The following is a 15,525-nucleotide window of genomic DNA, read 5'->3' as shown; positions in this document are numbered from 1 at the left end:
ACATCAGAAAGGTAGAAAAACTAAAAATAACCTAATGATGCACCTTAAAGAATTAGAAAAGAGCAAAACAAACCCAAAATTAGAACAAAGGAAACGAAGATCAGAGAAGAAATACATAAAATTGAAACAATGAAAATACAAAAATCAATGAAATGAAAAGTTGGTTTTTTCCAAACACCGCATGTTCTCACTTATAGGTGGGAATTGAACAATGAGAACACTTGGATACAGGAAGGGAAACATCACACACCCATGTCTGTCGTGGGGTGGGGGAAGCGGGGAGGGATAGCATTAGGAGATATACCTAATGTAAATGATGAGTTAATGGGTGCAGCACACCAACATGGCACATGTATACATATGTAACAAACCTGCACCTTGTGCATATGCACCCGAGAACTTAAAGTATAATAAAAAAAAAAAAAGAAAAGTTGGTTTTTTGAAAAGATGCATATAATTGACAAGCCTTTAGCCAGACTAAGAGAAAGAAATCAAGAAAGTAATCCCAATTATAATAGCTATGAATAAAATTAAATACCTAGGAATTAACCAAAGAAGTGAAATATCTCCACAATGAAAACTATAAAACACTGATGAAAGAAATCGAAGAGGACACAAAAAATGGAAAGATATTCCATGTTCATGGATTGAAATAATCAATATTGTTAAAACATCCATATTACCTAAAGTAATCTACAGATTCAATGCAATCTCTATCAAAATACTAAGGACATTCTTCACAGAAATTTAAAAAAAAAATCCTAAAACTTATATGGAACCACAAAAGACACAGAATAACCAAAGCTATTCTGAGGAAAAATTACAAAACTGGAGGAATCACATTACTTAACTTCAAAATATACGACAAAGCTCTAGTAACCAAAATAGTACAGTATTGGGCAAAAACAGACACACAGATCAGTGGAACAGAATAGAGAACCCAGGAACAAATCCACACATCAACAGTGAACTCATTTTCAACAAAAGTGCCAAGAACATACACTGGGGGAAAGACAATCTCTTCAAAAAATGGTGCTGGGAAAACTGGATATCCATATAAAGAAGAATGAAACTAGACCCCTATCTCTCACCATATTAAAAAAAATCAAATCAAAATGAACTACAGACTTAAATTAAGGTCTCACAATATGAAACTACTGAAAGAAAACACTGGAGAAACTTGCCAGGACACTGGAGTTAGCAAATAATTCTTTAGTAATACCCCATAGGCACAGGCAACCAAGCAAAAATAGACAAATGGGATCACATCAAGTTAAAAGTTTTTTGCACAGTAAAGGAAACAATCAACAAAGTGAAGAGACAACCCACAGAATGGGAGAAAATATCTGTCAGCTGTCCATCTGACAAGGTATTAATAACCAGGATATATAAGGAGCTCAAACAACTCTACGGGGAAAAAACCTAATAATCTGATTAAGAAATGGGCAAAGATCTGAATAGACATTTCTAAAAAGATGACATATGAATGGCAAACAGGTATATGAAAAAGTGCTCAACACTAAAGTCAGAAAAATTCAAATCAAAACTACAATAAGATATTATCTGTCCCCAGTTAAAATGGCTTTTACCTAAAAAGCTGGTAAGGATGTGGAGAAAAGGGCATCATTGTACACTGTTGGTGGGAATGTAAATTAGTACAAGACCACGGTATGGAAAACAGTTCACAGGTTCCTCAAAAAACTAAAAACAGAATTATCATATGATTCAGCAGTCCTATGGCTTGGGATATACTCAAAAGAAAGGAAATCGGTAAATTAAGGAGATATTTGCACTCCCATGTTTACTGTAGTACTATTCACAATAGCCAAGATTTGGAAGCAACCTGAGTGTCCATCAAAAGACAAATAAAGACAATGTGGTACATATACACAATGGAGTATTATTCAGCCATAAAAAAGGATGAGGGCCTATCTTTTGCAACAACATGGATGGAACTGGAAGTAATTAAGGGAAATAAGCCAGACACAGAAGACAAACTTCACCTGTTCTCACTTGTTTGTGGGAGTTAAAAATTAAAACAACTGAACTTGTGGAGACAGAGAGTAAAAGGATGATGACCAGAGGCTTGGAAGGGTAGTTGGGGGGAATGATGGTTAATGAGCACAAAAATATAGCTATATAGAATAAGATGTAGTATTTGGTAGCACAACAAGGTGACTGCAGTCAACAATTATTACATATTTAAAACTGACTGGAAGAGTATAATTGGATTGGTTGTAACGCAAAGAAAGGATAGATGCTTGAGATGATGGATACCCCATTTACCCCCATGTGATAATTAAACATTGCATGCCTGTATCAAAATATCTCATGTACCCCATAAATACAAACAACTACTATGTACCCACAAACATTTTTTGTAAAGAAGATATGACAAAGAAAAAATAATTTTTGTTATTTAGAGATCTGCTAATCTATCTTAATAAAACAGATGAAGGATATACACCATGAAGAAAGGGTGTGATGGTTAATTTTATTTGTAAACCTGACTGGGCCCAAATATTCACTTAAGTATTATTCATGGGTGTTCTGGTGAAGGCGTTTCTGGATGAGATTAACATTTGAATCAGTAGACTGAATAAAGCAGATTTCCCTCCCTAATGTGAGCGGGCCTCATCCAATCTGTTGAAGTTCTGAATAGAATAGAAAGCTAACACAATATTTTTTTCTGTCTTCAAGCCTGACTGTCTTTGAGCTAGGACACTGGTCTTCTGTTGCCTTTTTTTTTTTTTTTTTTTTTTGGACTGGAACTTACACCATCAGCTCTCCTGGGTCTGAATTTCTCAGCCTACAAAATCACATGGTCTAATTCTGTATACTAAATTTCTTTACCGTCATCCCTATCCCCCTACCAAAATACACACACATCCTATTGATCTGTTTCTCTGGAGAACTCTGAATACTACTGAGGATGTGAGGGGCATGCATAATTAACTCACAAAGCCAGTAAGTCTTCATTTGGATTTTGACAGAAGAACAGGAAATTGATTCATGAAAAGAGAGGGAAGAAGGGTAACCTAAGTGGGGAAATAGTTTACTCAAAAAATTGTGTGCATTTGGATGTTGTGTGGAACTACATAAGAAACAGGGTACTGGAGGAAGATTCTATGTCTGGGCAAGTGGAGGAAGAACTAAATAATCAACCTGATATGAAAGCACTAATTGTGCACTGATTTAACACTGAGGCTCACTCAGACAATGGGGATAAACAGAGTAATGGGAACCTGGCCATGTACTCAAGGAGTCCATCGTCTAAATAGCTGTAACTGCCTACCAGGCTTGTAGGTGATAAAAATAAGTTTCATATATTCTTGCTCAATAAATATGCAAGCCAAACATCATACTTGCAACATATAAGACAAATATTTTGCCAAAAAAATGCATATCAAAAATTACTATGTACCAAGGTACCTGAATTGTAGATGGAAGGTCAAGTGAGGTGAATGAGTGAGTCCTGGAGCAAGGTGTGATGGAGCAAGGTAGACAAGCAAGAGCTTCATCCTGTGAGTAAGTGTGCTTGATGCCTTGATTTATTTTGAACCAAAATGAACAGGTCACAGGCTACATGGCACAGTTGGGTTACTCGAATGTTTTAGATTTCTAAAATTATTACTAGCATAAGCTATGGCTCAAAGGCCACAGAGCACTGCTTAACATTAAGTTCAAGGTTAATGTTACTTGCTTCATGAAAGAGCACAGAAATGTGTTGCAGGGCTACAGACTGGGCTGAAAAGAACCTTCTGACTTTCAAAGGTGGTAACTGTGTTTTCAGGCTTTGGAGCAGAATGCTCAGATTTGAGGATGAAGATTAAAATCTTTATGATACCATCCTTTTTGGTTTTCCTGTGTGTTACATAGCCATGGCTTTCACTGAAATAACATTTTCTGTTAGAATCCACTGGCATTTCTTTCCTGCTGATGGCTGGAAAAATATTTATCTTTATACATACATGAGCATATTTAAATCCCCTCCAATGTGTTGTTTGACTACTCGGTTTATTTCAGTTTTTATTGAAATAACTGTCCACTTGTACTATGGCTATCTTTATAAAAACATATGTAAATGTATTCTGTTTTGACAGGGCTTTTTAAAGTGCATTTGCTTTAGTTATTCACACTGGGTGGAATGTAGCCACATTAATCATTTTTCAAATTTTCTGTGTGTGATTGCCTGCCATGAACACTGATGCCAGCACATTTCTTTTTAGCTACTTTTTTCGGGGTTAGAGGAATATTGCTACATCTTCAGAACTGATGATTTCCTACAAGATTGTAATATATCATATATCACATTCGCAAGATAAAAGCTATGCCCATAGTTTAAAATCACTTAAAATATATGTGTAAAGAGAAATGCTTAATTGATTTTCCAAATCATTTTCCTGTAAAGTTGAACTGCTTCTTAAAAACCTTAGCTGTTTTTTATACTACTATATACAATACCTATCAAGGATTTAAAATTCCAGTTATACTCAGTATTAGCAAGGTCATTCTTATGCACCATTGGTAGAAATACAAATTAGTGTACTTTTGTCTACAGGGCAGTTAAGAGTTAATAAGCAATATACATAATGAACATTAAAGATGAGAAAAACCTTGAACCTGGAAATTTCACTTACGAGAATTCATCCTGGTTATGATATTCATCTTAATACAGTTGATAGTTGCAAAAAATCTTTAGAATAATATGATTACTAATAATAGGAGACTAAAATAAATTATGGCATATCCACGTAAGGGAATTCTATGTAGCCATTAAAAAGGGTGGTTAGGTATGGACTCAGTGACTTAAAAAGGTGGTCCCGATACAATCATCTCTCTGTAATAGCATTTGTTTTAATGTTATATACATATGTCTGTTTGTATATACACATGGAAAAAATTTAGAAGAATGGATCTTAACATGGTTTCTGTTGAGAGGTTATTTTCTTGTTTAAATGTTCTAATTTTTACATAATACATTTTTTATAGTTATATATACACACACACACCCATGCACAAACACACATATATGCACTACAGAAGCTTCTTTTCCAGCTGTCTTGCCTCTAGGCATATGGACTTTGAACCAACCTAGTAGAAAGGGCCCATAGTGGGGGCAGGGAATCTGATGGCCCCATCCCTAATAAACCTGATCTGCCTAGTTCCACTGTCCCCTAACACAGCAGCAAGGATCCTGCTCACCAGACTGTCCTGGATGCAGGGAGTCTCCACCAGCCTCCGGACTCCATTCTCCACAGTGACTCCCAGCCAGTTGAGCGCTGCCCAGCACCAGAGGTAGTCGTAGCCGCCATGCCAGTAGCTCACAAATGCAAATGTCATCGCCGTGGAAAACAGTGTCCCCAGCAGGCCATGCTGGGACCCGCCCACTGGAATGTACACATACCTAGAGAAAGAAGAGGCTGTTAGGAGACATACAGAGGGCTGCCCTGCAACTCTATCTGCTCCCCAGCTTGACTATCCTGTCACATACTGCTGTTCACATATGCAGATCCTTCCTCACTTCCAAGAGGCCAGATTCCTTGGATTCTCCATCCCACAAGGAGTTGGCGAAAACCCAAGCCTTAGCTCTGCAGGGTGTTAGGTTAAATGAACACACAGGCTCAAGAGCTCTCATTACTAGAGCAAAATAGCACTTACAAGAGGCAGGGCAAGAAGTCATGAATTTAGAGTTTCTGAAAGGGATGGGCCCAACCCTGGAAATCCAATCACAGAATGGCAGTTAAGCTTCTGGCTACATGAGGCCAGCAACCTTCAAGGCAGGTGATATGGTTTGGCTGTGACCCCACCCAAATCTCATCTTGAATTGTAGCTCCCATAATCCCCACGTGTCATGGGAGGGACCCAGCGCGAGGTAATTGAATCATGGGGGTGGGTTTTTCCTATGCTGTTCTCATGATAGCGAATAAGTCTCACACGAGATCTGATGGTTGTATAAAGGGCAGTTCCCCTGCACATGCTCTCCGGCCTGGCGCCATGTAAGATGTGCCTTTGCTTCTCCTTCACCTTCTGCCATGATTGTGAGGCCTCCCCAGCCATGTGGAAATGTGAATCCATTAAAGTGTTTTTTCTTTATAAATTACCCAATCTTGGGTATTTCTTCATAGCAGTATGAAAATGGACTAATACAGCAAGTGTGGATTTTACAGCTCAAACTATTAAGTTTATGGTAAACCCATTATTTAAATGCAATTGGTAAGATCACGTTCCTAAACAGGCAGGAGCTGGGTGCAGCAGATGGGTGCCAGAGACGGTTCCCCAGCTTTCTAGGCAGGTTGCCCAGAAGCAGTCGTGAATTCACAATAAAGAAAAGAGCTCTGTGCTCACAGGGCAGCCAAAGTACCAGACAAAATGCATAGCTGTCCCCTGGGTATGTTCTCCATTGCTGAGACAGCTGCCTGAGTACGTAGAGACAGTACTATGTTCTTCAATCAGTAATTTCCTGCTTGAGTTGGACAAAACTCACACCTTGAGCTGTTAGGACCTGGAAAGCTAGGAGCATACCCTTCTTGCAATAGCCTTTTTAAAAAGCCCATAGGCCTTTATTGCTGATCAGTGCTTCTTTGTCCAACCTTCCTCCAGGAAGGAAAATGAAAAAATCCTTTTCTGAATACACAGTATGTTCCAAGTACTAGACACTTACATGTACCACTTTGATTCTTTAAAGCACCATATGTATAGTTTATACCTACTGCCCCAGCATTTTAAACAATTTAGCATTTGTCCTGTTTATATATTAATTTAGGGGAGGAGATCAAACTTGTTTTTGAAGAGGAAATAAAATTGTTTTTAGAGAGGAAATTGTTCTATTCAAAATGTTTTCAACAGGACTATTTTATTTTTAGAGATAGCATCTCTAGATGTTACCCAGGCAGGAGTAGAGTGGTGCAGTCACAGCTTACCACAACCTCAAACTCCTGAACTCAGATAATCCTCCCACTTTAGCCCCCCAAGTAACTGGGACTACAGGCATGCACCACCACACCCAGCTAATTTAAAACTTTTTTTGTAGAGATGATATAAAAGTTGCCTAGGCTGGTCTTGAACTCCTAGCCTCAAGTGAACCTCCTGTCTCAGCCTCCCAAGTGCAAGGATTACAGGTATGAGTCACTATACCTGGCTTAATAGAACAACTGTATAGGTAGGCAGGCTAAAAATAAAAACAACTTATCAGGCAATAAATCTTTTAAAAGACTCTATGATAAAACTGTGCCACTGGACAAAGACTCTCTCCTTGACTAAACTTTAGTCAAGCTCCTCTAAGCTCTCTAGGCCTCAACCTTGGTGTCCATCTTTATTGTAGCAAGAATCCTGCTAAGTCAGTTTAGAACGAACCCCCCACCTGCAATATCTGATCATGCTCCATCATCTGGCCAAATTCTTCATCACCTACTCTTGGTGTCTGATCACCCTGGCTGCCTTCAGGAGGAATCCTGTTAGGTCTGTTTAGCCAGAATCCTCCTATTTCCCAATGTTTCCTCTTAATATTCCACTCAATGACCCCCACCTTGCTCCTTGGCTATATCCCCCTTATCCAAGCTGTATTCAGAATTAAGCCTAGTTCTGGCTGGGTGCAGTGGCTCTTGCCTGTAATCCCAGCACTTTGAGAGGCTGAGGCGGGTGGATCACCTGAGGTCAGGAGTTCGAGACCAGCCTGGCTAACATGGCAAAACCCTGTCTCGACCAAAAATACAAAAATCAGCCAGTCATGGTGGTGTGGGCCTGTAGTCCCAGCTACTTGGAAGGCTGAGGCAGAAGAATCATTTGAACCCGGGAGGAGGAGGTGGAGGTTGCAGTGAGCTGAAAACATGCCACTGCACTCCAGCCTGGGTGACAGAGCAAGACTCCGTCTCAAAAAAAAGAGTCCAGTTCCATACTGAGGTCTCTTTTCCCCTATTACAACAGTTCCCAAATAATTTTTTTTTTACTGCTTCAACTACTACCTATCTCTGGTTTTTCTTTAACATCCTCCACTCTCAAATGTGTTCCAGTTTCCAGTTTAGATAATAAATTATTTGATCACCTTAGATAATCCCATTTTATGGGTGAGGAAACTGAGGTTGAGAAATTAATTTGCCCAAGGTACACAGCTGGGAAGGAGAAAGACAAAGATGCAAATCTGCATCTGTACAGCCAACTTACTGCTTCCATTACAACCCTGGGCTAATTTTTAAAGTCCTCTATATTTCACCCCAATCAGGAACAATTAAACTTGAAGGCATGTGAGAATGTAGCAGTTTCAGAAATAAGTAAAGCAAAGCCAATACTTTCCTTTGTGCAAAAACAGGACCATCTTGACAATCAAATTAGCAAATAGGCATCAAGCACTCACTACAGATTAATGGATATTCCACCTGCTGTTGAGCATGTCTTTAGGCCTTCAGGGAATTCCTGGCATTATGGGAAACAGACATGACTTTGTTCTTGCTATAAGGATGGGCAAACCTGCTTGTGAAACAATAGCAAACAATTCCCATCATTAAGCTATGTGACATGGTACAAAGTAGACCACAAAGGTTCCAGAGTGCAGGGGAGAAGGGTGTGAGTGAAGACAGTGGGGCAAAGGAGGCTGAAGGGCGAAGGCTCTCATTCTGACAAGGCCAAGAGGATGAGTTTTGCTAGGCAAAGAGAAGGTTGGGCACTGAGCCAAGGACACAAACGAGGGGTTGGATGACAAGTCAGAAAAGCCTGACAGCCCAGGGCACAGTAGTCTTATCCGGTGTTCTGCTGCCCCCCAGAGGCTGCTTGGTCATTGGTGTAGAATACTCAGCAGAGGCAAAAAATGGGCCACAATTCACTGCCTCCTACCTGCATGGAGGTAACTGCTGGCCCATCATGAGGCTGCCCTTAACTTTACGTAACCAGTGTTGTATGTAAAAATAAAATAGGGTAATCAAACCTATTGCAAAAGGATGAAGAACGACTTCTCTTTAAGGAAACTGTACAGATGGCTGTTTTATAAAACAGATTATCAAATGCTCTCTTCACCCAAGAGAAGAGATTTTTTTTTTAATCTTATCTCACTATATAAAAGTGAGCTGCAGCTGGGGACAGTGGCTCACGCCTGTAATCCCAGCACTTTGGGAAGCCGAGGCTGGGGGGTCACTTGAGGTCAGGAGTTCGAGACCAGCCTGGCCAACGTGGTGAACCCTGTCTCTACTAAAAATACAAAAATTAGCCAGGCGTGGTGGTGCACACCTGTAGTCTCAGCTACTCGGGAGGCTTAGCCCGGGAATTGCTTGAACCTGGGAGGCGGAGGTTGCAGTAAGTACCACTGCCCTCCAGCCTGGGCAACAGAGTGAGACTCCATCACAAAAAAAAAAAAAAAAAAAAAAATTAGCTGCACTGTATATGTCAGAAAACCATAGCACACAAACCTCTCATTCTCCACACCAATGGTACTTGATCTTAGATTCAACTCCAAGGAGGACATGTTTTCAAGCTTGTGATCAGGAAGCATCTAGCCCCAAAATTACATGCCCAGCTATTTTGGGCATCTCCTGGAACCATGGCTGTTACTTTGCCTTCAAAATGACAGCCAACAAAAATCTCTGAAAATTCCTTTTATTCCAGAAATTCATATATGGCAGGTCTCCAAGGACATGAGGCTGTTTGTCTCAAACCAGAAGAGGGTATAGCTTCAAGACTGGAAGATAAAAATCCCTTCTTTATTCCTAATTTATAGAAGACAGTACGTGTGGTAAAAAGGAGAGCAAACAGGTTATTTTCTTTTACAAATTCTACCATCTTCTGTCAGTTCCATGATTAATAAAAACAGAAACATGTCTCTTTTTTTAGAAAAGCAATAGTATGAAACTGCTTACTAAGATTTGCTGCACAATAAATTGATTTCCCAATGGAAGAAAGCAATCAGCACCACCTTCTCAGCAAAGCAAAACTAAAAAGATTGCTTCTCGTCAGTGACTATGTCAGGTTGAGTCTTCACGAAGCCTGCCTCTGCCTGGCCGGCTTCGCGTGGTCACTGCTTACAGAAAATGCTGCAGCCACCTTCTTAATTTAAAAGCATCTCACTGAATCAATGCACCACAGCAAACCCCCAACTCAGGAGGAGGAATCTATATAAATAGTAGACAGTATTGATGACTTCTACCCTTTACTGAGTGCCCATGCACCAGGTGCTTTATGCATACTATTTCTAATCATTAAAACAACCCTCCAAGGAAATAACTAGGCCTATTTTATATAGGAGAGGTAAAATCTGCTCCTAGAATGTTGTAGTTCCAGAAACCCCAGGGCTGGGTGCTTTCACTGATATATTTCTCGTTTAACCAAATCTTCAAAACAGTCTCCACAGAAACATCCACTGATGTTTTATTAACTGAAAAATGTCCTTTCTAGGAAAGAATTCTTGCTCAAGAGAATAATGATTACAATTTACAAAGGGATTTAAGCCAATGAGCTCTGTTAGCCACTGTTCAGTGTCAGAAGACAAGAGGTATAACTTCCGCTTTTGAACAGACTAAGTAGTTGCCCTCTGTCCCACAAGCAGAGATAACACCTGCTATCTCAACTCCCTGACATCCTGCAGACGTCTGCCTGTGTCAGAAGTGGGGCATAAAAAGTTGGTGGCTAGGGTGATGCTGAGTAGAGGTACACAAAGGGAGAAGAAAATATCTAGCTCCCTCATACCTACTATGAAAAACAACACAAATATACGCCCTACAGTGGGAGACAGGGGTGGTAACAATCCATGTGGTAAACGCATTAATCTTAAAATCGCAACACTTCTTTTTTCCAAGGACCTATACAATAGCTCCTTGGCTTGCTACATTATCACCTAACTCTATGACAGACTAATCCCAGACCCCAACAAAGTATGAAGATGAAGCACCAGACACTGACAGACATGGCTTTTACTACGGTTTCCTGCACTGAGCCGAGGTGGGCTTGCTGGTTTCCTGTAATCACTTACCCATTCCTCGGCCGGGCTGGGGCAGGCAGTTGCTGACATCCTACTCTAGCTCCACCTTAACTTTCCACCCTTATTTCCCTTCTCCCCACTTGGCTTTGGTGACAAATCCTAAAATCCTGAATAAAAGAGGATTTGACAGCTCCGTGCCTTTGGTCATACCATTTTCACATCTAGAAGACACTGCTCCATCCTCCCTGATTTTCCAACACCTACTCAGTCTACAAAATCCAGTTGATTTCCCAACTCCAGGAAGTCTCTTTTGCATTTTCCAACTTGCAATTTAACCCAGGAACCTACTGTGTGTACTGTCTGTTCCACTGATTGAACAGCTTTTTACCAAAATGTGTCTATTATGGGTGTCATTTTAACTCAATTGTAAGATTCATTCAGACAGCACTAGATATGTGATGTGTGTATGTGTATGCGTGTGTATGTTACACAGCTACTAGTCAACAGTACTTAAATACGTAACATAATTTCCATTTACTGCTGATAGCCTCGAATAGCTTTTAAACTTGTTAAAAATTGTCACCATTGTCATGGACCCATTATAAGCAACAGAAATGAAAGGATGATTGATTATAAGGTCCTGTACCAGGTACTGGGAGACTTTGGAAGACACCTATTCCTAAAGAATACAGAGCATTGAAAGATGCTGAAGTTTCTCCACACTTTGTAATCCTAATTACCCTACTAAAGTCAAAAGTATGTGTCACCACACCTCTGGAACTACTCCAACCCTAAGAGATTTACCACCCAAAGTAAAAGTACTAGTCCTTTAAAGAACAGAGCCTTTAGTGGCTAGGAAAGGCAAGACTTTTGTCCATGTTACACTGGTGGTGAGGTGACCTCACCTTGGCTCCATCTGGGCCCTGAGACCAGCCCCTGCTCAGGTTTCTCTTCTCTACAGAGCTGGCTGTGCTGTCCTGAGCCCAGCTCTCATGGGCAGTAGCTCCCCTGACCCAACCCTGGCTCTAGCTTTGGCCTTGGCCCACATTTTAGTGTTCTTTCTCACAGCCAGTGATGACCCTCCAGCCAAATCTCCATCTTCTAGGTAGTTCTCAGAAAGGAAGCTACATATCTACTTATAAAAAGTTTTCACAATCTACCCATCTGACAACGGTCTAATACCCAGAATTTACAAGGAACTTAAATGTATTTATAAGAAAAAAACAAATAATCCCATCAAAAAGTGGGAAAAGGATATGAACAGACACTTCTCAAAAGAAGACATTTATGTGACCAATAAACATATGAAAGAAAGCTCAACATCACTCAGCATCAGAGAAATGCAAATCAAAACCACAGTGAGATACCATCTCACACCAGTCAGAATGGTGATTATTAAAAAGTCAGGAAACAATAGATGCTGATGAGGCTGTGGAGAAAGAGGAATGCTTTCACACTATTGGTGGGAATGTAAATTAGTTCAACCATCGTGGAAGATAGTATGGCAATTCTTCGAGGATCTAGAACCAGAAATACCATTTGACCCAGCAATCTCATTACTGGGTATATAACCAAAGGACTATAAATCATTCTACTATAAAGACACATGCACACATATGTTTTTTGCAGCACTATTCACAATAGCAAAGACTTGGAACCAACCCAAATGCCCATCAATGATAGACTGGATGAAGAAAATGTGTGGAATACTATGCAGACATATAAAGGAATGAGATCATGTCCTTTGCAGGGACATGGATGAAGCTGGAAACCATCATCCTCAGCAAACTAACACAGGAACAGAAAACCAAACACCGCATGTTCTCACTCATAAGTGGGAATTGAACAATGAGACACGTGGATACAGACAGGGGAACAACACACACCAGGGCCTGCTGGGGGGTGGGGGGTGGGGGGAGGGAACTTAGAGGACAGGTCAATAGGTGCAGCAAACCACCATGGCACACGTATACCTATGTAACAAACCTGCACGTTCTGTACACGTATCCCCCCTTTTTTTTTTTAAAGAAAGAAAAGTTTTCAAAGGAAGATGTACACAAAAAGGAATATAATTTGCTTTTAATATTTTTCTGTCCAGTAGAGATAATAACAGCATTTTAACAAGTAATAACCAGCAGTTGGTTAATGGGCAACCACAGGCTTTGTCATCCTCCATAAGGCTAAGAGGAGTCTATTTTCAAAGCAGGGAAAATATTTTGAGCTGGGCTAATTCTCAGCTCCTTTACTAAAAGATGCTGTACATAAGCTTCATATGCAATTCTGAAAATTATCTATTAAAAATTCTATGCCCTCTTTGGCAACAGAACATTGTAGGGTTTATAAAACAGAAATTAAATTCAAGCTATATTTAGCCTACACTTCAACTTCTAGGTAAATGTAATTAGATGCCAACATTTAAATAATCTTTCTTTTCGCTCCATGAAGCTGGTAGTTCAGTGAGTTGAAGTATTGTGCTGATGAACCCAAGCTTGTAGCTTCCATCTTAGAGAAAGATTCAACCACAACTTCATAGTTCAAAACCCAAACTCTGGCTTCACAAAAGCTCTATCTTTCTCACAGAAAGAGAGGCTGAGAGAGTCTGAATGGCTCAGTCCAAGCACATTTGCCGCTAGAAAACAGCCCAAGCAGCAACAGTGGCGAAGTATGGGACAAGAAAGAGCGCAGTGCTTGAGAGCTAGAAGATGTGACCTTGGCCCTGCTCTGCCACTCACCAACTTCTGTAACCTCGAACTTGTCAAGTAAACCTGCTCAGCTTAAGTATACATACTTAGTATGCACTAGCAGCACTAAAACCTTCTTTGAGTATGAGGTGCTGTGAAGATCAGATGAGACAATATATAAAGACTCTGGAGATTTTTTTTAAATCATGGCAAGAACACAGTATGAAATCTACACTGCTAACAATTGTTTAAGTATATAATACAGTATCGTTAACTATAGGCACAATGCTAGCCAGTGGATCTCTAGAAATTCTTCATCTTGCATAACTAATATTTTATACCCATTGATTAGCAAGACCCCCTTCCTCTCACCCCCGGCACCTGGCAACCACCATTCTATTCTTCGCTTCTATGAGTTTGACTATTTTTTAACCTTTAAGTTTAGGGGTACATGTGCTGGTTGTTATATAGGTAAACTCATGTCACAGGGGTTTGTTATACAGATAATTTCATCACCTATGTATTAAGCCTAGTATCCATTAGTTATTTTTCCTGATTCTCTCCCTCCTCCCACCCTCCATCTCCCGTGTCTGTCATTCCCCTCTGTGTGTCCATGTGTCCTTATCTTTTAGCTCCCACTTATAAGTGAGAACATGCAGTGTGTGGTTTTCCGTTTCTGCTAAAGATAATGGCCTCCAGCTCCATCCATGTTCTTGCAAAGGACATGATCTCATTGTTTTCCATGGCTGCGCAGTATTCCATGGTGGATATGTACCACATTTTCTTTATCCAATCTGCCATTGATGGGCTTTTAGGTTGATTCCATGTCTTTGCTATTGTGAATAGTGCTACAGTAAACATCTACATACATGTGGAGTTTGACTATTTTTAGATCCCTCATATAAGTGAAATCATACAGTATTTCTCTTTCTGTTATGGGCTTATTTCGCCTTCATAGCCTTATGTATATAACTGGAATCATACAGTATTTGTCCTTCTGTTACAGGCTTATCTCACTGAATAGAATATTCTCCATGTTCATTCACGATGTTGCAACTGGCAGGAATTTCTTCTTTTTTGAGGCTGAATAATATTACATTGTATGTATATACCACATTTTCTTTATCAATTCATGTATCAATAGATATTTAGGTTATTTCTGTATCTTGGCTGTTGTGAATAATGCTGAAATGAATATGGAAATATAGATACCTCTTCTAGATACTGATTTCAATTATTTTGTATACTCAGAAGTGTGATCACTGAATCACATAGTAGCTCTTTTTTATTTTTTTAAGGAATCTCCATACTGTTTTCCATAGTGGCTGTACCAACAATGTACAAGAGTTCTATTTTTCCACATCCTCACCAACATCTGTTATCTTTTTTTTCTAGAAAATAATAGCCATCCTAACACATATGAAGTGATATCTCATTGTGATTTTGATTTTCATTTCCATGATGACTGGTGATATTGAGCATCTTTTCACATATATCTTGAAACATACAACCTACCAAGAATGAATCAGGAAAATCTAAACAGACTAATAACAAAGAGAATGAATCAGTAATTAAAAACCTCACAACAAAGAAAAGTCCAGGACCTGATGTCTTCACTGGTGGATTCTACCAAAAATTTAAATAAAAAGTAACACCAATCCTTCTCCAACTCATCAAAAGAACTGAAGAAAAAGAACACTTCCAAACTCATTTTATGAGGCCATCATTACCCTATACCAAAGCCAGACAAAGACATCATTAAAAAATTACAGGCCAACTGGGCGCAGTGGCTCACATCTGTAACCCCAGAACTTTGAGAGGCTGAGGCAGGCAGATCACATGAGGTCAGGAGTTCAAGACCAGCCTGGCCAACATGGTGAAACCCTGTCTCGACTAAAAATACAAAAATTAGCCCAGCGTGGTGGTGCATGCCTGTAATCC

General features: G+C 39.8%; 1 protein-coding gene across 18 annotated transcripts in view; it reads right to left on the bottom strand.

The window, feature by feature from the left end:
• The window catches only part of HHAT (hedgehog acyltransferase), a 348,963-nt gene that overhangs the window by 82,986 nt on the left and 250,452 nt on the right, over nucleotides 1-15,525 (bottom strand). For all 18 annotated transcript variants that reach the window (XM_047424804.1, NM_001122834.4, NM_001170564.3 and 15 more), the window contains one exon: nucleotides 5,206-5,407. In XM_047424804.1, the coding sequence (XP_047280760.1) occupies nucleotides 5,206-5,407 (202 nt within the window). The remainder of the gene's footprint in view (nucleotides 1-5,205; nucleotides 5,408-15,525) is intronic.

This window comes from Homo sapiens, chromosome 1 (assembly GCF_000001405.40).
Source record: "Homo sapiens chromosome 1, GRCh38.p14 Primary Assembly".
In the NCBI taxonomy this organism is placed as follows: domain Eukaryota; kingdom Metazoa; phylum Chordata; class Mammalia; order Primates; family Hominidae; genus Homo; species Homo sapiens.
This window is presented reverse-complemented; position numbering and strand designations above follow the sequence as displayed.